Source organism: Homo sapiens, chromosome 11 (assembly GCF_000001405.40).
Source record: "Homo sapiens chromosome 11, GRCh38.p14 Primary Assembly".
NCBI classification, from domain to species: Eukaryota; Metazoa; Chordata; class Mammalia; order Primates; family Hominidae; genus Homo; species Homo sapiens.
Genome location: NC_000011.10, coordinates 33,180,489 through 33,203,391, shown reverse-complemented (window position 1 = coordinate 33,203,391; position 22,903 = coordinate 33,180,489). Strand labels below are relative to the sequence as shown.

Below are 22,903 nucleotides of genomic sequence, written 5' to 3'. Positions count from 1 at the left end.
TACCAAAGCCCAGTGTACTTGCCCCAGGCAGTTCAATTAACATGATATAATCAGTAAAATTGACTAATGTGGGTCAGGCATGGTGGCTCATGCCTATAATCCCAGCACTTTGGGAGGCCAAGGCCGGCAGATCACTTGAGGCCAGGAGTTCGAGAGCAGCCTGGCCAACACGGTGAAACCCCATCTCTACCAAAAATACAAAAATTAGCCAGGCATGGTGGTGGCGCACCTGTAATCCTAGCTACTCCAGAGGCTGAGGCAAGAGAATCACTTGAACCGTGAGGCTGCAGTGAGCCAAGATCATGCCACTGCACTCCAGCCTGGGCAACAGAGTGAGACTCTGTCTCAAAAAAAGAAGGACTAAAGTGATACTCTGAAGAATGCCCACATGGCCTGGGCAAGACCCCTAAATGTATACAAATTTCTTCTAATTCTTCTTTCGGATAGGTTTGGAAAAGAAATTATTCATCAGACCAATGGCTGCATACCATGAATCTGAGGCCATTAAATTTGCTGTAGCAAGGATATTATACCATGCACAGCAACTGCAATTGAGACTACTACTTGTTTGCATTTGCTTTATCCTCCAGGACTCATCTGGCTTTTGAAGAGGTGAGACTGAAAAATTAAGTGAAGATATGGTCAGCATTGTATTGGAAGTACTGGCTAGTTTAATAAAACAAAAAAAGGAAACAAAAGGTATATAGATTCAGAAGGAAAAAATAAAACTCTGCAGATGACATGATCATCTATATAGAAAATCTCAAAGAATCTATCGAAAAATTGCTGGAACTAAAAAGCAAGTATAGCAAGTTTGCAGGACATAAGATTAATATACAAAAGTGAACTGATTTCCTATATGTACAAGCAGTGAAGAATTGGAATTTGAAATTTTAAAAACAATATCGTTTACAATAGCACCAAAATTTGAAATACTTAGGTATAAATCTAATAAAATATGTGCAAGGCCTATATGTAAAAAACAACAAAACTCTGATGAAAGAAATCAAAGATAATCTAAATATATAGAAAGATAGTCCATGTTCAATGATTGGAAGACAATATTATTAGGATGTCAGTTCTTCCCAACCTCATTTATAGATTCAGCGCAATTCCAATCAAAATCCCAGCAAGTAGATATTGACAAAATGATTATTTTTTTCTTTTCTTTCTTTTTTTTTTTTTTAGATGGAGTCTCGCTCTGTTGCCCAGGCTGGAATACAGTGGCACAATATTGGCTCACTGCAAACTCCACCTCCTGGGTTCAAGCGATTCTCCTGCCTCAGCCTCCCGAGTAGCTGGGATTACAGGTGCGTGCCACCACACCTGGCTAATTTTTGTATTTTTAGTAGAGATGGGGTTTCACCACGTTGGCCAGGCTGGTGTTGAACTCCCAACCTCAGGTGATCCACCTGCCTCGGCCTCCCAAAGTGCTGAGATTACAGGTGTAAGCCACCGTGCCTGGCCAACAAAATGATTCTGAAGTTTGTATGGAAAAGCAAAAGATCTAAAATAGCCAACACAATACTGAAGAAGAACAAAGTTGGAAGACTCACACCATCTAATAGCAAGACTTACTCTAAAGGTACAGTAATTAAGACAGCATGGCATGATCTCACTTGTATGTGGAATCTAAAAAAATGTTGAACCCATAGTAACAGAGAGTAGAATGAATGATACCAGGGGCTGGGGGATGGGAGCAAAGGGAAGAAATTAGTCAAAGAGTACAAACTTTTAGTTATAAGGTGAATGAGTTCTGGAGACTTAATGTTCAGCATGGTGATTATAGTGAATAACAATGTATAGTATACTTGAAATTTGCTAAGAGAGTAGAACTCAAGTGTTCTCACACTGCAGACACACGCACACACACACACACACAATGGTAACTAAATGATATGATAGATATATCAGTTAGCTTGATTGTGGTAATCATTTCACAATGTACACATATATCAAAACATCACATTGTACACCTTAAAAATATTCAATTTTTATTTGTCAATCATACCTCAATAAAGTTAAGGGGCAAAGATGGCATGGTAGTGACAAAAGAATACATATATAGGGTCAGGTCGAGTAGCTCACACCTATAACCTCTGCACTTTGGGAGGTCGAAGTGAGAGGAGCACTTGAGGCCAGAAGTTCAAGACCAGCCTGGGCAACGTAACAAGATTCCATCTCTACAAAAAATTTTAAATAAATTATCTGGGTATGGTGGCACGCACCTGTAGTCCTAGCTACTTGGGAGGCTGAGGCGGGAGGATCACTTGTGCCCAGGAGTTCGAGGCTGCAGTGAGCTATGATTGCACCACTGCATTCCACACTCCAGCCTGGGTGACAAAGCAAGACCCTGTCTCTCAAGAAAAGAAAGAAAAGAAAAAGAAAAGAAAGGAGGGAGGGAGGGAAGGAAGAAAGGAAGGAAAGAAGGAAGGAAAGAAGGAAGGAAGGAAGGAAGGAAGGAAGGAAGGAAGGAAGGAAGGAAGGAAGGAAGGACACATTGATCCATGGAAGAGTCTACAGAGCCCAGAAATAGGCCAGCACAAATGTAGCCAACTGATCCTTGGCAAAGAAGAAAAGGCAGTTCAATAGAGAAAAGATGGTGCTGGAATGATTTGGTGTGCATAAAAGAGAAAAAGAAAGCAAGAAAGAATCTAGATATACACCTCACCTTATACCTTTCACAAAAATTAACTCAAAGTGGATCTTAGAACTAAATGTAAAATGCAAAACTGTAATATCTCTGGAAGAAAATATTTCTGTGTTCTCTAGGTGACCTCGAGTTTGGTGATAAATTGTTTTGTTTTTTTTTTTCCTTGTGAGACGGAGTTTCGCTCTTGTTGCCCAGGCTGGAGTGTAATGGCACGATCTCGGCTCACTGCAACCTCCACCTCCCAGATGCAAGCGATTCTCCTGTCTCAGCCTCCCAAGTAGCTCGGATTACAGGCATGCACCACCAGGCCCAGCTAATTTTTTTGTATTTAGTAGAAATGGGGTTTCACCATGTTAGGCTGGTCGTGAACTCCTGACCTCAGGTGATCCACTGGTCTTGGCCTCCCAAAGTGCTGGGATTACAGGTGTGCGGCACCACACCTGGCCGACAATAAGCTTTTAGATACAACACCAAAAGCATAGTCCACGAAATAAAAAAATTGTTAAGTTGAATTTCGTTAAAATTAAAAACTTCTGCTTTGCAAAAGACAACAGTAAAAAATGAAAAGACAAGTCACAGACTGGGAGAAAATATTTGCAAGACACATATCTGATGAAGAATGTGTATCCAAAATGCACAAAGAACTCTTAAAACTTAATAAGAAAACAAACAGGCCGGGCACGGTGGCTCAGGCCTGTAATCTCAGCACTTTGGGAGGCCAAGGCGGGTGGATCACCTGAGGTCAGGAGTTCGAGAGACCAGCTTGACCAGTATGGTGAAACCCCATCTCTACTAAAAAGACAAAAGTTAGCCAGGCATGCTGGAGTGTGCCTGTACTCCAAGCTACTTGGGAGGCTGAGACAGGAGAATTGCTTGATCCTGGGAGGCAGAGGTTGCAGTGAGCCGAGATCTCGCTACTGCACTCCAGCCTGGGTGACAGAGTGAGACTCTGTCTCAAAAAAAAAAAGAAAACAAACAATTCAATTTTTTTTTAAATAAGCAAAAGAATTGAAAAGACACTTTACCAAGTAATAGAACAGATGAAGAATAAGAACATGAAGGCCAGGCACGGTGGCTCATTCCTATAATCCTAGCACTTTGGGAGGCTGAGGAGGGTGGATCACTTGAGGTCAGGAATTAGAGACCAGCATGGCCAACATGGTGAAACCCCTGACTCTACTAAAAATACAAAAAATTAGCTGAGCGTGGTGGCAGGCATCTGTAATCCTAGCTACTCGGGAGGCTGAGGTAGGAGAATCGCTTGAACCTGGGAGGCAGAGGTTGCAGTGAGCAGAGATGGCGCCATTGCACTGCAGCCTGGGCGACAAGAACGAAACTCTGCCTCAAAAAAAAAAGAAGAAAAGAAAAGAAAAGATGCTCAATGTTAGTAGTTATTAAAGAAATGCAACTGAGGCTGGGTTCAGTGGCTCACACCTGTAATCCCAGCACTTCAGAAGGCCAAGGCAGAGAGATCACTTGAGCTCAGGAGTTGGAGGACCAGCCTGGGCAACATGGTGAAACCCCATCTGTACCAAAAATACAAAAAAATAGCTGGGTGTGGTGGTAAGTGCCTGTGGTTTCAACTACTTGGGAGGCTGAGGTGGGGGATCATGTGAGCCCAGGAGGCAGAGGTTTCAGTGACCCGAGATTGCACCACTGTATTCCAGCTTGGGTGACAGAGTGAGGCCCTATCTCAAAAAAAAAAAAAAAAAAAAAAAAAAAAAAAAAAAAAAAAGAAGAAAAAAATGCAACTTAAAACTATGATGAGATACAACTACACACCGATTAAAATGACTACTTTTTTTTTTTTAACTGATAAGCTGAAACTCTTACTCATTGCTGCTGGGAATGCAAAATGCTGCTGGGAATGCAAAATACAGTTACTTTGGAAGATGTTTTGGCCGATTTTTAGAATGGAGATATTGTGGGGACCATGGCCACTGCACCCTTTAGGCTTTATATAAATAGCACCAATCTTTGTCGTTACCCCCAAAATGTATATGATTTTGTATTATCTTGGCAGGCAGGGGCTGGGCCCGGGGCTTCATGAGGGAGAGGGAGTAGAGTCATGGCCTTCATCACTAGTACAGCTCTTATGCCTAGGCCAAGGATACAAAATGATGTTTATTGGGGAATATTAACCAGATCAACCCTGTGGAGGAGGAAAGGAAGAATTAGGCAGAGGAAAAAGTTGAATTGTGATGCAATCGCAATAAATCAAGAGAAACTCTGTAGTTGGAATGATCCCTTGGCATTATCCCAAACTGGGGCAAGGCAACTAGTATTAATACTTGCATTGGCTGCTGTACCCATTGGATGTGGACTGACTGACTCTGGAAAGACTTTGGGTTAAGTATCTCTCTTCAGCCAAGGGCAATTTCTGAAGAGGAACTGAACTTAGTCTGTCATTTGCCAATACTCTCAGTAGCTGAGAAAATGAGTGGTTTGGTCCTAAAAAGGGGAAATCTGAGCAGTACATCCCAAAATACCGTGGCTTAAGTCTCTCTCAACAATCCAAAAATAGATGAGTTCAAGAGAAAGTAGAACAGTGGTTACTGGGGGCTGGTGGGAGGAGTGAGCGGAGAGGTGTTTAATAGGTATAGAGTTTTGGCCGGGTGAGGTGGCTCACGCCTGTAAACCCAGCACTTTGTGAGGCTGAGGCAGGCGGATCACGAGGTCAGGAATTCGAGACCAGCCTGACCAACATGATGAAACCCCATCTCTACTAAAAATACAAAAATTATCTGGGCGTGGTGGCACGCGCGTGTAATCCCAGCTACTCAGGAGGCTGAGGCAGGAGAATCGCTAGAACCTGGGGGGGCAGAGGTTGCAGTGAGCTAAGATTGCGCCACTGCACTCCAGCCGGGGTGACAGAGTGAGACTCTGTCTCAAAACAAAACAAAAGAAAACAAAAAAATAGGTGTAGAGTTTCAAGTGTCCATTTTGCAAGATGAAAGAATTCAGGCAATGGATGGTGGTGATGGTTGCAAGGTACTTAATATCCCTAAACAGTACACTTAAAAATGGTTAAGGTGGTAAATTTCATGTTATGTGTATTTTACCAAAATTGAAAATTGGGGGTGGGGGGAGTAAGTGGTCCAAGTTGTCAGTGTAGTTTAGCTTGTGACAATCAGGAATCCTGATTCCATCTCCTGGCTCTGCTATTTTCTAAATCAGTTCTTCCCAAACTTTAATATGAAGGTGAATCACATGAGCATCTTGTTAAACTGCAGGCTCTGATTCAGTATGTCTGGAGTGAGTCCTATGATTCCACCTTTCTAACAAGTTCTTAGGTGATGCTGATGCTACTTACACGTGGAGCACACAGAATAGCGAGATGGTAGGGTATCGTTTTTTGTCCGAATCTTCCAAGTTGTGTTGCTATCAAGCCTGATTTCTTGTTCAAGAGAATGGGGGAAAAGAGATGAAGAACAAGAAACTTCCTTTAAAAAAATTTTTTTTTTTTAATTTTTCTTGAGACAGGGTCTCACTCTGTTGCCCAGGCTGGAGTGCAGTGGTATCATCTCAGCTCGCTGCAACCTCTGCCTCCCAGGTCAAGAGATTCTTTGCCTCAGCCTCCCAAGTACCTGGGACTACAGGCATGCACCACCATGCCCGGCTAATTTTTGTATTTTTTTTTTTGGTAGAGATGGCCACATTTGGTAGAGATTCACCACATTGGCCAGGCTGGTCTCAAATTCCTGACCTCGTGATCCGCTCACCTTGGCCTCCCAAAGTGTTGGGATTGCAGGCGTGAGCCATCGCGCCCAGCCAACAACTTCCTTTTAAACAGGCAACTTGGAATCTGCACAAGTCACCTGTGTCTCCATTCCATTGGTGAGAATTTAGTCATGGCCACACCAAGCTATAAATCTATCACTGTAGGAGAAGAGAAAACAGATTCTGGAGGTCAACTAACAGGATATTATTCTAGGTCTCAGTTTCTTCATCTGTTAAGTCAGGGCCTTTATAGCTCTAATATTCTGGGGTTTTGCGATACCAAATGTCCTGAACTGTATCAACCCGGACTCTGTGCTTACTTATTGTTGCTGTCTTGTAATGTGACATGAAGAAAAAATTATTTTGAGACAAATATTTTTAGGCTGTGCAGTGGTGTTTACAACTAATTGATCACAACCAGTTACAGATTTCTTTGTTTCTATTTCCACTGCTTCCACTTGACTAGCCTTAAAATAAATAAATAAATTTTTTCATTTCTTTTGTTTTTTTGAGATGGAGTCTCACTCTTGTTGCCCAGGCTGGAGTGCAGTGACATGATCTTGGCTCACTGCAACTTCCACCTCCCGGGTTCAAGCGATTCTCCTGCCTCAGCCTCCCAAGTAGCTGGGATTACAGGTGTCTGCCACCATGCCCAGCTAATTTTTGTATTTTTAGTGGAGATGAGGTTTCACCAAGTTGGCCAGGCTGGTCTTAAACTCCTGACCTCAGGTGACTCGCCTGCCTCGGCATCCTAAAGTGCTGGGATTACAGGCGGGAGCCATCATGCCTGGCCTAAATAGATAAATTTAAAAACCAATATTTTAAAAATTTTGTGGATTACTTACTTTCTTCTAATGGAAGTAGATTATTAGATGAACGGAATTTCAGGTGTGAAGATACAAAATTGAAGAAACCAGGAGAGAGCTAAATTACTCTGCAGGAGAAAAAGGAGTGATTTAGGAGTTTGGAAAGAAGATCCCTGGGGCTGGAAACCTGATTGTAACCAGGCAGGCCTAAACAGCCTGCCTGAAAAAAGGGTTATAAGGGAGAGGGGGCAGCTGTTGTCTGGAGATGAATTTACGGGAAGAACAAAACTGTTTAACAGGGACTTTCATTAAATTTTACTGTGTGTTATATGATGTAACTCTCCAGTCCACCTTCTCTACAAAATCTTCCCTCTAGTGCCTTATAGAATGAACTTTCTTTTGATAAATAAAGAGAAACACTGAGTCCTACCCTAAGGATAGCACCAGGGAGGAACAAAGGCTGTCATTGTGTTATATAATAGAGTGGGTACATTCATTTATCTTCAACACTTGCATTAAACGTAAAAAAAAAGGAAACAAACATACACAACAAAAGCCAGGCCGGTTCACTGTTCTGCAAAAGGCTTCCTGGAGTGTGTCTCTGCTGTGATGACTGTATGAGGGCCTCAGCTTTGTCAGCCATGACCCAAGGAACACTTACACAATAATATTTAAGCTTCCTTCAAATTTTGCAGTTCTATGACTCAAAATCAGATGTAAACAAGATTGAAGCACAATGAAATCAACCATAATTTATCAGTTTGATGGTACCAGAAAGGTGTAAATAAGCAGTGAGGAATTGTGACAATGTAAGTTAGCCAAAAAAAAAAAAAAAAAAAAAAGAAGAAGAACTAAGATATATGGAGAATTAAAGACAAAGTGCCTTTCTTGGTATGTAAATGTACATATACATCAATTCTTCACTTTGTGCCTTGAGTTATAATTTTGCTTTTAAAACAAACCTCATTTGTTTTTGTTTGTTTTTTTTTTCTGTTTTTTAGATGGAGTTTCTCTTTTTGCCCAGGCTGGAGTGCAATGGCGTGATCTTGGCTCACTGCAACCTCTGCCTCGCGGGTTCAAGTGATTCTCCTGCCTCAGCCTCTCAAGTAGCTGGGATTAAGGTGCACACCACCATGCATGGCTCATTTTGTATTTTTAGTAGCCATGGGGTTTCACCATGTTGATCAGGCTGGTCTTGAACCCCTGACCTCAGGTGATCCACCTGCCTCAGCCTCCCAAAGTGCTGGGATTACAGGTGTGAGCCACCGTGCCCAGCCCAAACCTCATTTTTTTAGTGTGTTTTTTTTTTCTGCTATTGCAACAGGAAGCATTTTAGGACATGATTAGATATGTGGAATAGGTGACAAATGAACATGGTATAAGATTTAAAAGGCGTTAAAGGCTATACAGTGAAATGTCTCCCTCCACAACCCTTTCCCCAAACCCTGGAGGTAGGCATCCATTTCTCAGGTATCCTTTATTAAATAAAATTTATAGGAGGCCATTGTTTTAGACTGAGCTCTTGCACCAGGCCCCAACAGACCAAACCAAAATGGAGTCATTCATGCTAAGTGCTACATAATCAAGCTAAAACTTTAAGGAAGCAAGGAAATCCCCAAACAGGCCAGTTTTTCCTAAAAACAGGTTGACGTGATAAGGACATGATTTAATCCTTACAGTGAAAGTACCTTGACGTAAACTTATCTTAACCCATCTACTTTTTAAAATTTTTCTGTTTCCTCGTTTCTGCTCAGGCTACCTTACAAAAACCAACTCTTCTGCATGGCCAACAGAGCTCCCTCTGTTTTGGACAGAATGATGCCCAATTCATGAATCACTACTAAAAGCTAATTAGATCTTTAGATTTGTTGAAATTTTCATTTTTTAAAATATTTTTTGAAGAAGTATTCTCTGGATATATAAGTTAAAAAGAATGTTATAATGAGATCCTTTCTTAGTTTCAGTTATACCCTCAAAAATTAGGAGAAAAATAGTAGATATCGTAAACACTCACATTCCAAAGAGAATGGCTACCTCCCAAAGAGGATTTACAAATACAAGAATAAAAAACTGGCCTTATGAACCTTAGACCAATCTTGAGGGTATAAAAGGCTTCGCACTGAAGTGGCCATAAGAAGGGAATTTTCTTTGGAGTGTGTTATCTCTGTGTGTTTTCCTCATGTTCATGAGGGCCAAGAGGATGGTGTTTTCCCTTATCTTTTTTTTTTTTTTTTTGGTGTTTTCCCTTATCTTAAACCAAAAAGAGGCCAGGCACAGTGGTTTATGCCTGTAATCCCAGCACTTTGGGAGGCCGAGGCAGGTGGATCATCTGAGGTCAGGAGATCAAGACCAGCCTGGGCAACATGATAAAACCCTGTCTCTACTAAAAATACAAAAATTAGCTGGGTGTGGTGGCAGATGCCTGTAATCCCAGCTGCTTGGAAGGCTGAGGCAGGAGAATCACTTGAACCCGGGAGGTGGAGATTGAAGTAAGCTGAGACTCCACCACTGTACTCCAGCCTGGGCAATAGAGCATGACTCTATCTCAAAAACAAAACAAAACAAAACAAAATAAGTCTTCAAAAACACCACTTCTGACTGGGTAAGGTGGTTCAGACCTGTAATCCCACCACTCTGGAGACTGAAGTGGGTGGACTGCTCAAGCCCAGGAGTTTGAGACCAGCCTGGACAAGATGGGAAAACTCTGTCTCTGGAAAAAAAAAAAAAATAGCTGGGCATGGTGGCCGATGCCTGCAGACCCAGCTACTCGGAAGGCTGAAGTGGAAGTATTGCTCCAGCTTGGGTGACAGAGCAAAACCAAACCTATCTCAAAAAACAAACAAACAAAAAACCCAAGCCCAAACCCAAACCACCACTTCCAGGGCTGGGATGGCATCCCCCAGAGTTGTGGCACATCCGGAAAATCTAAGGTGATATATGGTTTGCAGCATGAAGAGGCAGGGAATGGAGAGAAGCGAGGCTTCTCTGGGAGTGGTCTGCATTAACATGAGGGCCAAGTGAACTCATGGGCAAAAACCAACCTGAAATTGACTTTAAAAGGACCTTGCCCAATTGGGCTGCCTAGAAGGACATGGGATTCCAAAAGAATGTGTGTTTGAGTTGAACCATCAGACATCCAAGTGCTGAGGGATGGAGGTGTAAGTAGGCTGCCAGAGAAAAGCATCAACTACATCACAGGAATTGCAACTGGAAGTCTCCAATGGGAGGGGTCTTTGAGAAAACTGTAGAAGAGAGAAAGAATAAGAACCAGTATCTGCTACTCCTAGAAGGCCCCAACAAGAATTACCTGGTCACCAGTTCAGTAAAGGCTTTCCCGTCCGTTATTTCTTCCTTTTCTTTTCAACCCTGGGGCATCCGAGTTGCTTAGGGGAGAGGAGCAATAGAAGCCCAAAGCCAAGAAACTGAGCTGTAATAAGCCTCCCAGGCTGCCCCTCTTCCTCGTGCTTAAAGCAAAGCTGAGCTGGAGGAAGCAATGAGCTCTCATTCATACAGGGGCTTCGTGTTTCCATTATTTCACTGGACTGGCCAGTTTAATTACAGCACTGAAACTATTATTGGAAATAAAAGTGCTAGGGGACTTCATATTATCTGAGTGATCAAAAAAGTTGTGAGGCATCCACACAAAATTTCCTTCAAGGTTTAAAGAGGCAGTAAAAGTAAAGAATAATGTTGCTTTATTCATATCCCTAATTTTGAGTGTGACCCATTGCTATGGTCTGAATATTTGTGCCCTCCAAAACTCATGTAGAAATTTAATCCATTTAATCCCAATGTGGCAGTATTGAGAGGTGGACCTTTTTTTTTATTTTTTTATTTGAAACGGAGTCTCGCTCTGTCGCCCAGGCTCGAGTGCAGTAGCATGATCCCAGCTCACTGCAACCTCCACCTCCCGGGTTCAAGCAGTTCTCCTACCTCAGCCTCCCAAATAGCTGGGACTACAGGCACGTTCCACCACACTCGTCTAATTTTTGTATTTTTAGTAAAGACGGGGTTTCACCATATTGGCCAGGCTGGTCTCGAACTCCTGACCTCATGATCCACCCTCGGCCTCCCAAAGTGCTGGGATTACAGGCAGGAGCCACCACGCCCTGCTGAGAGGTGGACCTTTAAGAGGTGATTGACTCATGAATTCTCTGCCTTCATGAATGGATTAATCCATTCATGGATTAATAGAGTCATGGGTTAATGGATTAATGAGTTATGTGAGTAGCTTTATAAGAAAAGGAAGAGCGACCTGAGCTAGCACTCTCAGCCTCCTCACCACCTGATGCTCTGTGCCACCTCCAGCCTCTGCGGAGTCCCCTCTAGCAAGAAGACCCTCACCAGATTCAGCCCTTCAACCTTGGCCTTCTCAGCCTCCAAACTGTAAGAAATACATTTTGTTTCTTTATAAAATACCCAGTTTCAGGTACTCTGTTAAAAGCAACAGAAAACAGACTAAGATATCCATTTAAGAACACTGTTCTGGAATATGTGCATGCCATACATAGTGTTTTACACATTCCTTTTTTAATCATGAGATAGCTGGATGGCTGTCCCACATGAGTATATATAAATTTACTGCATTCTTGTAAACAGCTGCACAGTAGACCATTTTAAGAATGTACAATAGTTTATTTTAACTGTTCCTTTTTAGCATATTAGTAAGTCTTGATCTGTACAAATAAATGTATTAGAAAGCTTAAAACAAACATTTGAATGCTTCCATTATACTTAGACACATTTTCTAAGTTTCCCTTTATTTTATGTGAAAAATATTCCCATTTTAGAGGAATTTTGTATAAAAAGAAAAAAAAAGACTCTCATTGCTAAGTTTCAAAGTAATCCATATTACACTTAATTATCTACTGCATGATTGTCTTTTGTGATTGAAAGCTGAAACTAAAAGCAATCAATATTAAGCAAAACAGGCCGGCACAGTGGCTCATGTCTGTAATCCCAGCACTTTGGGAAGCTGAGGCGGGTGAATCACCGGAGCTCAGGGGTTAGAGACCAGCCTAGGCAACATGGCGAAACCTTGTCTCTGAAAAACATACAAAAATTAGCCAGACATAGTGGCAGGCGTCTGTGATCCTAGATACTCAGGAGGCTGAGGCAAGAGAATCGCTGGAATTCAGGAGGCAGAGGTTGCAGTGAGCCAAGATCGCGCCACTGCACTCCAGCCTGGGCAACAGAGTGAGACTCTGTCTCAAAAAAAATTAAGCAAAGCAATTAAACTAAATTCATTCTGGAACTCAGCCTGGCTACGTGAAAATATTTTTCACTTGTTCCAAATGATAATATTTTAATACTATCTAGCAGTTACTTATTTTTAAATTCACTTTTTGAGCCTGGGTATGGTGGTTCACACCTATAATCCCAGTACTTTGGGAGGCCGAGGTAGGAGGAACACTTAAGCTCAAGAGTTTGAGACCAGCCTGGGCAACATAGTGAGACCTTGTCTCTGCAGAAAATTTCAAAAATTAGCTGGGCATGGTAGTGCACTTCTGCAGTCCCAGCTACTCAGGAGGCTGAGGCAGGAGGATGGCTAGGTTGAGGCTGCAGTGAGCCATGATTGTGCCACTGCACCCCAACCTGGGCATCAGAATGAGACCCTGTCTCAAAACATTTTTTTAAAATAAAATTCACTTTTTGGTTCTTTCTCTTCTGGTCCCAAGAGCTTCTGGAGCCACAGGTTATGATGTAGACATGGCCAAGTCCAAGAACCACACCACACACAACCAGTCCCAAAAATGGTACAGAAATGACATCAAGAAACTGTGATAACAAAGATACAAACCTCTTAATGGGGTAGACCCCAAGTTCCTGAGGAACATGTGCTTTGCCAAGAAGCACAACAAGAAGGGCGTGAATAAGAAGCGGGCCAACAGTACCAATGCCATGTGTCTGTATGCCAAGTCTATCAAAGTCCTCAAAAAGGCCAAGGAGGTTAAGTCCCAAATCCCAAAGCACATCATCCAGAAGCTCAATTGACTTGCCTACATTGCCTACCCCAAGCTCGGGAAGCGTGCTCCTGCCTGCATTGCCAAGGGTCTTACCTCTGCCCACCCAAGACCAAGGCCAAGTCTCAAATCAAGGCCCTGCAGCCCCAGCTTTGGCTGCAGCTCCAGCTGCATTTCCAGCTCTAGCTCAGGCCCCTGTGAAGACTCCAGAGAGGAGGCCTCTGTCTGCCAGTGTGAGGACAGAAGGACTGGTGTGACCTGCTGGGCTGCCATCTGCATGGAGTTGGTGTCCTCTTGTGCTATTTGTACAAATCAACCTAAGGCAGGAAAAAAAATCACTTTTTATCTAACAAACACTTTTGTGCTTATGATGTGTCAGACGCTGTTCCAAGAGCATTACTAATGTTAACTCATTTAATCCTCATAACAACCCAAGGAAGTTGAGTACTGTCATTATCCCCAACTTATGAAGCAGCAGGTGAAGAAATTGAGGCCTAGAGAGTTAAGTAACTTGGCTAAGTTCACCTAGCTAGAAAGTGACAGAGCAAGGGTTTGAACACAAAAAGTCCGGCTTCAAAGTTCATGATCATACTCACTGTGCCATATTGTCCCCTTGTAGGCTGTATATATAAAAATATATACATATATATCACTGCAAGGAAATATATATCACTGCAATGATGAAGACTTACGGAATGTTTTCTTAAAGCAGAACTAGTCATCAAAGCCATAGTCTTCAGCACCATCATTATTAACAGCAAAACGTGGGCCGGGCATTGTGGCTCACGCCTGTAATCCCAGCACTTGGGAGGCTGAGGCGGGCAGATCATGAGGTCAGGAGATCGAGACCATCCTGGCTAACATGGTGAAACCCCATCTCTACTAAAAATACAAAACGAAATTAGCCGGGCATGGTGGCAGGCGCCTGTAGTCCCAGCTACTTGGGAGGCTGAGGCAGGAGAATGGCATGAACCTGGGAGGCGGAGCTTACAGTGAGCCAGGATTGCACTACTGCACTCCAGGCTGGGCCACAGAGGGAGACTCCATCTCAACAACAACAACAACAACAAACAAACAAACAGTCACACAAAAAAATGTGATGATGTGTGCACACAATATACAGTGGACACCATTCTGGCACTGTCGATAAGAGAAATAAAACAAGCCCTGCTCCTAATTTTCCTACTGGGTCAAAGGAAATTGCCAGAGGCAGCATTCTATGGTGTTACCAGGTCAGTTCCAAAAAAAAAAAAAAAAAAAAAAAAGAGGCCTAAATAATTAAATCCAGGGAAAACTAAGAGAAAGCCAAGATGTAAGTTCAACCAGCTTGGAACTGAAGGAGTGCTAATAAGTGAGATGGTTAGAAACAGGTTAAAGGAAAGGGATCTTGAATTCTTACCTGGGTGAGAGTTTAGGTGATGGCCACAGATGGTTACCAGTGGTCTCCAGTGCGGGTGTGGAGAGAAGAGTTAAAAGAACCCTGTGGAGAGAGTGCCATGCTTGCCCACCTAATACTGGGGAAATCCAAGGCTTGAACATACTACTTCTGAATCCAGGTAGTACTCTTTTAGTAGCACACACTAGAAATGTATACACATGATTGGCTGATCTTGATAAACTTTCAGTGAGAGGGGTCAGAAACGGGAAACTCTGATGCTTACAGAGGCCAGGTGGTGGCTGTAAATGTGTGTGGCAGGTCTGGGTAGCTAAGTGCAGAGTACCAACCTCCTTCTGACACTATTCAACAGCAGCCTGGGATTTTATCGTTTAATTATTTCATGCCACAATCATTGTGTATGCAGTAAGCAGCCACTCTAGGGAAAGGGGTACTAGCTAAAAAGACACATTCTTGAAAAAAAAAAGACAACTAAACATAGCGATTTTATTCTTTGCAGATTCTAAGGGGAAGTCAGGCACGTGACGGTGGATGAGTCTCCCACAAAGGATATGTGCATGATAATGGCAGAGACAGCTGGATTACAGGTTCGTCTTAATGCTCTGTACCCTCAGTGTGTAAACAGTGTTCATACTTATTTTCAGAGATAGAAAGGAAGGGGGGTGCTAAGGAAACTAGGTCAGATCATAACCAGTCTTGGGTGGGATGAGGTTGGGGAGGAACCCCAGGAAACAGAGCTGGTGGTGACAGCTGCGAGGAGTGGAAGAATGAGTGCTGAATCCTTTGGGAGCTGGCTGAAAGCAAGAAAGAGACGCTGAGGGAGGTTAGAATAGAGGAATAGAGCTGGGACTTCTTAACAGCCTTCCCCATGGGGTTCTGGGATGGCACCCAATGGTAACATTTTAAAGCAATTAAATTGGAGAAATGATGAAATTGTACCTGATTGAATAAAAGTAGTTATATAAAAGTCACAATATTGTAGCTGGTATAAATGTTTAGGTCATTTAGTTTAATTTGCCCAAATTGACTCTCCACAGACAGCCACATTTTGCATAAAATCATCTTCCACTTTTGAGGGTACATTTGCAACCAAGTAAGAAATTTCAACTAGAATAGCTCAACTATTATTTTCTCTACTTAAGAGGCAGTTTGTCCTAAATGTATTTTCTTCCTCTGCTACATATCTAAAATTTTTGCTTTCATCTTAATCATGCCCACAATAAGCTTCTAAAAATAAAGCAATAAAAAGTCTTAGGGAGGAAAAGACAGAAGGTTATAAAAATTGTTAGCTTTATAAATAAACAAACGAGACTAGTAACAGAAAAAGTTTAGAATTTTACATTTCAATACTTTAAACCTATTTTACAGGGTTTTATTTGCTTCATGAATTCTACTATAAACTCTAGGAAAATAAGAATATATGCCCACCGAAGTTATTTTACTTCATATCTCACCATTTGGAAACAAAAGTTTTGTTATTTTTAAACGCAGCCAAGAAAGAACTTTAGATAATGAATGATGTCAGAATCAGTTCTTTTATTGCGGAAACATATTGATTTAATCTATCGTATATCTAACAAATTCAAAGAAATGATAGTGACATAATATCAGGTAAAAATTTCTAGTAGGAAAGAAAATCTTTGTATTTTTCATCAGCAAAAAAAATACAGTGGACCTCTAATAGTTAATTACATATAAGTAGATTTGCCTAATAAGTCCTCAGCTTCTGAGTTATCTGGAAGGTTTTATACAAATTCCTTAGGTCTTGGGAGCCCGAGGCTGGAGGATCACTGGAGGTCAGGAAATCGTGACCAGCCTGGCCAATATGGTGAAATCCCGTATCTACGAAAAACACAAAAATTAGCTGGGCATGGTGGCAGGCGCCTGTAATCCCAGCTACTCGGGAGGCTGAGGCAGGAGAATCGCTTGAACCCAGGAGGTGGAGGTTGCAGTGAGTCGAGATCGAGCCACTGCACTCCAGCCTGGGTGACAGAGTGAGACTTCATCTCAAAAAAAAAAAAAAAAAAAAAAAAATTCCTTAGGTCACTCCAAAGCACAGTAAGATTTATTAAGTGATTCTAATTTTCTAAACAGAAGTTAAATACATTGTAATGTGTTACCGAATTATGTAATATATACGGAGCTGGCTTAAAAAAATGTTTCTGGCCAGGTGCAGTAGCTCACGCCTATAATCCCAACACTTTAGGGGGCTGAAACCAGTGGATCACTTAAGGTCAGGAGTTCAAGACCACCCTGGCCAACATGGTGAAACCCCATCTCTACTAAAAATACAAAAATTAGCTGGACGTGATGGCACATGCCTGTAATCCCAGCTACAGGGGAGGCTGAGGCAGGAGAATCACTTGAACTGGGGAAGTGAAGGTTGGAGTGAGCCGAGATTGTGCTACTGCACTCCAGACTGGGCAACAGAGCGAGACCTCATCTAAAAAAATATATAAAATAAAATAATGTTTCTATTGAAAGGGTTCACATAATGTTGGTTATCAAAAGCCCCTCTAACTATGATTAAAAATAAAATTTAAAAGATGGCTGTGAAAATAGGTAATTTGGTAATTTCCTTTTGAAATTAATTTAAACAATATGTTTTTAGATACTTAGCAAATGATTTGTTTATTACAAATAGATTATGTTCAAAATAAGCACATTGTATTAAAATATAAATATTCCTCAAAAAACTTTTTTTTCTTGGATAAATTTAAAAGATTGCAGAATGTGGCAGGTGGGTGTTACATGTAGTCTTACAGCCTAAGCAAAGAAAACTTAGGAACAGATTTTAAAAAATAGATTAAGTGTTTTCTAAGCTACTGCTTGCCTACACTAGCCAGCTGAAGGCTTTAAATAATTTAATCCCTACAACAACTGCCAGCTCCAACTGGAAGCCTTAAACAAGGACTGGATTCACCGAGGACTCCAACAGGTGCAGTCTAATAGTGATTCCCTAAATCTGCTACTGTTCTATGTTTGTACATGTGTAGGACCCTATATTCTTAACTTCAACAGAGCACTAATCAAATTAATTCAAGTGCTTTTTGTTTTGTCCCATCTTCCACTATCATATTATTTAAGGCATTCTTCTATTTTTCTCTGGAGGAATACTTAGTGCAATGTGTAGCATATGAGGTTGTTTTCAACATTCCTTTTCTAAGCAAGAGCCCTCTTATTACAGTTTTAGTTTTGGAAAGCAAATTAACTAATAAATTACTTTCTTCCTGTTAATACTGCTTTTTCTATCAACTAACATTCATATATTAGCACTTATAGAGAACTATTGGAGTTGCTTGGAAGATTTTCTTTTTCCTTTTATTCATTTGTAAGATATATAAAAATGTACTTGTCACTGATGTATTCAAATATATTTAGAGAGAAAATCACACATATTTAACATTTACATAATTAAACCGAGATAAGTTTTCCTATTAAATTAAATTGGAAAACCAAACAAGAAAAGACCACTCTCATGCCCTTAGGAGTAAATATATGATGATATTATAATAAGGCCTTTGGTAGACAAGCAGTCAAAAGAAGTTTAAAAGCCAATAGCTGGCCGGGTACAGTGGGTCATGCCTGTAATCTCAGCACTTTGGGAGGTCAAGGTGGGCAGATCACTTGAGGCCAGGAGTTTGAGACCAGCATGGGCAACATAGCGAAACCCCATCTCTACTAAACATACAAAAATTACCTGGGCGTGGTGGTACGCACCAGTAATCCCAGCCACTTGGGGAGCTGAGGCAGGAGAATCTCTTGAACCTAGGAGGTGGAGGCTACAGTGAGCCCAGATCATGCCACTGCACTCCAGTCTGGGCGACAGAGTGAGACTCCATCTCAAAAAAAAAAAAAAAAAAAAAAGCAATAGCTGCCTGGAAGTCCACATTCAAGCTGGCCCCTTACCTTATATCATATACAAAAATTAACTTAAAAATGGATTAAAGACCTAACATAAGTTCTAAAAGTATAAAACTCCTAGAAGAAAACAGGGGAAGATCTTCAGGACACTGGATTTGGCAATGATTTCTTAGATATGACACCAAAAGCACAAGCATCAAAAGGAAAAATATAATTTGTACAGTGGCTCACATGTGCAAACCCAACACTTTGGCAGGCTGAGGTGGTAGGATCGCTTGAGGTTGGGACCTTGAGACCAGCCCGGGCAACATAGTGAGACCACATCTCTACCAAGAAAAAAAAGCACAAATAGACAAATGGTATTATATCAAACTTAAAATCTCCTATGCATCAAAGGATACAATTAACAGAATTTTTAAAAGCCTACAAAAAGGGAGAAAATGTTAACAAATCATATATCAAAGAAGTTAATATATAGAATATATTTAAAAAAAAAACTCCTACCACTCAACAACAAAACACAATTTAAAAATGGACAAAAAACTTGAATAGACATTTCTCAAAAAAGAAATATATACAAATAGGCCGGGCATGGTGGGTTATGCCTGTAATCCCAGCACCTTGGGAGGCCAAGGTGGGCAGATCCCCTGAGGTCAGGAGATCGAGACCATCCTGGCCAACATGATGAAAACTTGTCTCTACTAAAAATATGAAAATTAGCTGAGGGTGGTGGAGGGTGCCTGTAATCCTAGCTACTGGGGAGGCTGAGGCAGGAGAATCGCTTGAACTCGGGAAGCAGAGGTTGCAGTGAGCTGAGATCATGCCACTGCAGTCCAGCCTGGGTGACAGAGCAAGACTCCGTCTCAAAAAAAAAAAAAAATATGTATATATATAAAAGTATACATATATAAAAAAGTATACACACACACACACAAATGCCCAAGAAACATATGAAAAGATGCTCAACATTGCTAATCATTGGGAAAGGCAAATCAAAACCACATTGAGGTATCACCCTATACAGATTAGAATGACTGCTATCTAAAGAACAGAAAAAAACAAGTGTTGGCAAGGATTTGAAAGAATTGGGATTCTTTGTACTGTTGGTGGGAATGTAAAATTGTGCAGCCATTATGAGAAATAGTATTAAGATTCCTCACAAAATTAAAAATAGACTTATCATATGATCCAGCAGTCTCACTTCTGAATATACATCCAAAATAACTGAAAGCAGGGTCCTTTATTTATTTATGTATTTATTTTAGAGACAAGCTCTCACTCCATTGCCCAGGCTGGAGTGCAGTGGTGCAATCACGGCTCACTACAGCCTTGACCTCCCCAGGATCAGCTCCTGAGTTTGTAGAGACGGGTTTTGCCATGTTGCCCAGGTTGGTCTCAAACTCCTGGGCTCAAGTTATCCACCCGTCTCAGCCTCCTAAAGTGCTGGGATTACAGGAGTGAGCCACTGTGCCTCGTCTCTGAAAGCAGTCTTGAAGAGATATTTGCACACCCATATTCATCCTGGTATTGTTCACAGTAGCCGAGAGGTAGAAGTAACACGAGTATCCATTGACAGATGAACGGAAAAAGAAAATGTGATACACACATAGAATGGAATATCTGTGAAGGATCACACATTGTGCTATGTAAAAAAAAAAAGATGAGGAACTAGTTCTAGGATCAACTAAAAATCCTGTCACGTGCTGCAACATGGATGAACCTCAAGGATATAATGCTAAGTGAAATATGCCTAATAGTAATTCCCTAAGTCTGCTACTGATCTGCTTGTGCATGTGTCAAACATTATATTCTTAAATTCAACAGGACACTTATTAAATTAATCCAAGTGCCTCTTGTTTTGTCCCATCTCCCATAGTCATGTTACTTAAGACACTCCCTTTATGATTCCACTCATATGAAGTATCTCAAGCAGTCAAAACCATAGAAATAAAAAGTAGAAGTCTCCTTTAATCTAGAAAAGTTGCCCTTTAATCTAGAAAAGTTGCCCCCTTTTTTTTGTTTGTTTTTGTTTTCCATAATTGACATTTTTTTAAAGAGTCAGGACAATTGTTTTGCCAAGCTGATCAATCCTGGGATCTCTAATGGTTTCCTCATTGTTATATCTAGATAAGATATTTTTGCAGTATACTACATTGTTGATTTGTGCCCTTTTCATATCAGGGAGTGTTCTGTAAGGGGTTAACTCAGGAGGCTTGGACTGTTCAAACATCCCCAAGAAAGGACTGGACCTTGACCTGCTGCTGGAAGGTAACCTCTGAGCAATTATCCTGCCTGATAAGAGTGTTTCTATATGCCTTAGGCCCTGGGCCAAATTATTTGTTTGATCAGTTAGTTTGTGCTAACGATCTGACTTACCGTGAACACCTGTTTTTCTATGCCTGGGGTCCTGGACCATGCTATATCAGTTTGACCTCTCGAGGTCTGGAGACTGGACAGCTAAAGTCAGCCACATGGACAACACATGCTTATGTGAAAATCCTGAGGACCAAGGGGCTTGGGTCTGCTTCTTTGGACAGCAGTCTTCACACCTGTTGTCACACATAGTTGCTGAGAGAATTAAGTACAGTCTGTGTGGCCCCACTGGGAGAGGACAACTGGAAGCTTGCCCCTGATTTCTCCTATACTTAACCTCATGCACCTTTTCACTTTGCTGATTTAAATCTGTGCCCTTTCTTTGTAAGATACTGTAGCTGTGAGCAGAACAGGTTTTTTTTGAGTTTTTTGAGTACTTCTAGTGAATCATCAAACCTGAGGTTGATCTTAGGGATCCCCAACACAAGGGGCACAGCATGTCAGTTTGCTTCATTAACTTTGTTCAGGCCGGTGCAGTGGCTCATTCCTGTAATCCCAGCACTTTGGGAGGCTGAGGTGGGCGGATCACTTGAGGCCAGGAGTTCTAGACCAGCCTGGCCAACATGGCAAAACCCTGTCTCTACCAAAAATACAAAGATTAGCCAGGCCTGGTGGTGCACGCCTGTGATCCCAGCTACTTGGGCGACTGAGGCAGGAGAATGGCTTGAATCGAGGAGGCGGAGGTTGCAGTGAGCGGAGATCATGCCACTGCACTCCAGCCTGAGCAACAGAGCGAGACTCTGTCTTAAAAACTACAACAAGAAGAGCCAAAAAACAAACTTTGTACATTCAGCTAAGGTCCTCCTGGATTTCTCTGACATAAAGATGTTTTTCCTTTGTAATTAAGAAATATTCTGTGGAGTGATACTTGGAAACTATGAGTATCCTGTTCCCCAACAGTATTTCACATAATAGTTTTAGTATTTATTGATGATTATTGTATGGATCAATGATTACTTTGGAGGCTATAAAAAGGTGGTCTTCTATGATTTCAGTTGAAAGCCGGTTTTTTTTTTTTTTTTTTTTTTTTTTTTTTGAGACGGAGTCTTGCTCTGTCCGCCAGGCTGGAGTGCAGTGGCGTGATCTCAGCTCACTGCAAGCTCCGCCTCTCGGGTTCACGCCATTCTCCTCCCTCAGCCTCCTGAATAGCTGAGACTACAGGAGTGTGCCACCACGCCCAGCTAATTTTTGTAGTTTTTTTTTGTTGTCGTCGTTGTTGTTGCTGTTTTGAGACGGAGTCTCGCTCTGTCCCCCAGGCTGGAGTGCAGTGGCGCGATCTCAGCTCACTGCAAGCTCCGCCTCCCAGGTTCACGCCATTCTCCTGCCTCAGCCTCCCGCGTAGCTGGGACTACAGGCGCCCACCACCACACCCGGCTAATTACAGGTGTGAGCCACTGCGCCCAGCCTAAAAGTCCTTTATGTAAGTGTTGGAGACATGTGTCCTGAATGTGGCAGTTGCGACTCAGCGTTGGGCAGAGACCTCCATGTGAGTCCACATGGGTGTGGTGGGAGCTGGAATGTCTGGGACTCCTACAACTAGAACAGGTTATTTACCTAAGCATGAACTGGAGATGTCTGTGCTGGTGATGGAGACTAGGATGTACATTTCAAACTCTGCCTGTGCAGAAGATGCAATTTCACACTGACTCCCACAGAATTTTCATTTCTGTTCCTCATTTACCCAGAAGGCAGAGACACAGCCCAGGGCTCAATTCCAGGGACTTGGCTGGGCATGGTGGTTCACGCCTGTAATCCCAGTACTTTGGGTGGCCAAGGCAGGCAGATCACGAGGTCAAGAGTTAGAGACCAGCCTGGCCAACATGGTGAAACCCTGTCTCTACTAAAAATACAAAAATTAGCCAGGCATGGTGGCATGTGCTTGTAGTCCCAGCTACTCGGGAGGCTGAGGCAGGAGGATCGCTTGAACTCGGGAGGTGGAGGTTGCAGTGAACAACGATTGTGCCACTGCACTCCAGCCTGGGTGACAGACAGACTCCATCTCAAAAAAAAGAAAAAGAAAGAAAGAAAAAGAAAAATACAGAGCTTTTAATCAATGCTTGTTTTCTATTTCTGAATGTTTTGTGTCAAGAGTGTCTAATGAGGCTTGTAAAATATGTACTCTTTAGAA

General features: G+C 41.9%; 1 long non-coding RNA gene and 1 pseudogene across 1 annotated transcript in view; one reads left to right on the top strand and one right to left on the bottom strand.

Moving 5' to 3' along the window:
* Positions 1–11,793: 11,793 nt before the first annotated feature.
* The window catches only part of CSTF3-DT (CSTF3 divergent transcript), a 29,942-nt gene continuing 18,832 nt past the window's right edge, over positions 11,794–22,903 (bottom strand). The window contains exons 2-4 of the long non-coding RNA NR_034027.1: positions 14,542–14,622; positions 13,835–14,024; positions 11,794–13,459 (exon numbers count right to left, since the gene is read on the bottom strand). This is a non-coding gene — a long non-coding RNA (CSTF3 divergent transcript). The remainder of the gene's footprint in view (positions 13,460–13,834; positions 14,025–14,541; positions 14,623–22,903) is intronic.
* Positions 12,842–13,470, top strand: RPL29P23 (ribosomal protein L29 pseudogene 23; annotated as a pseudogene).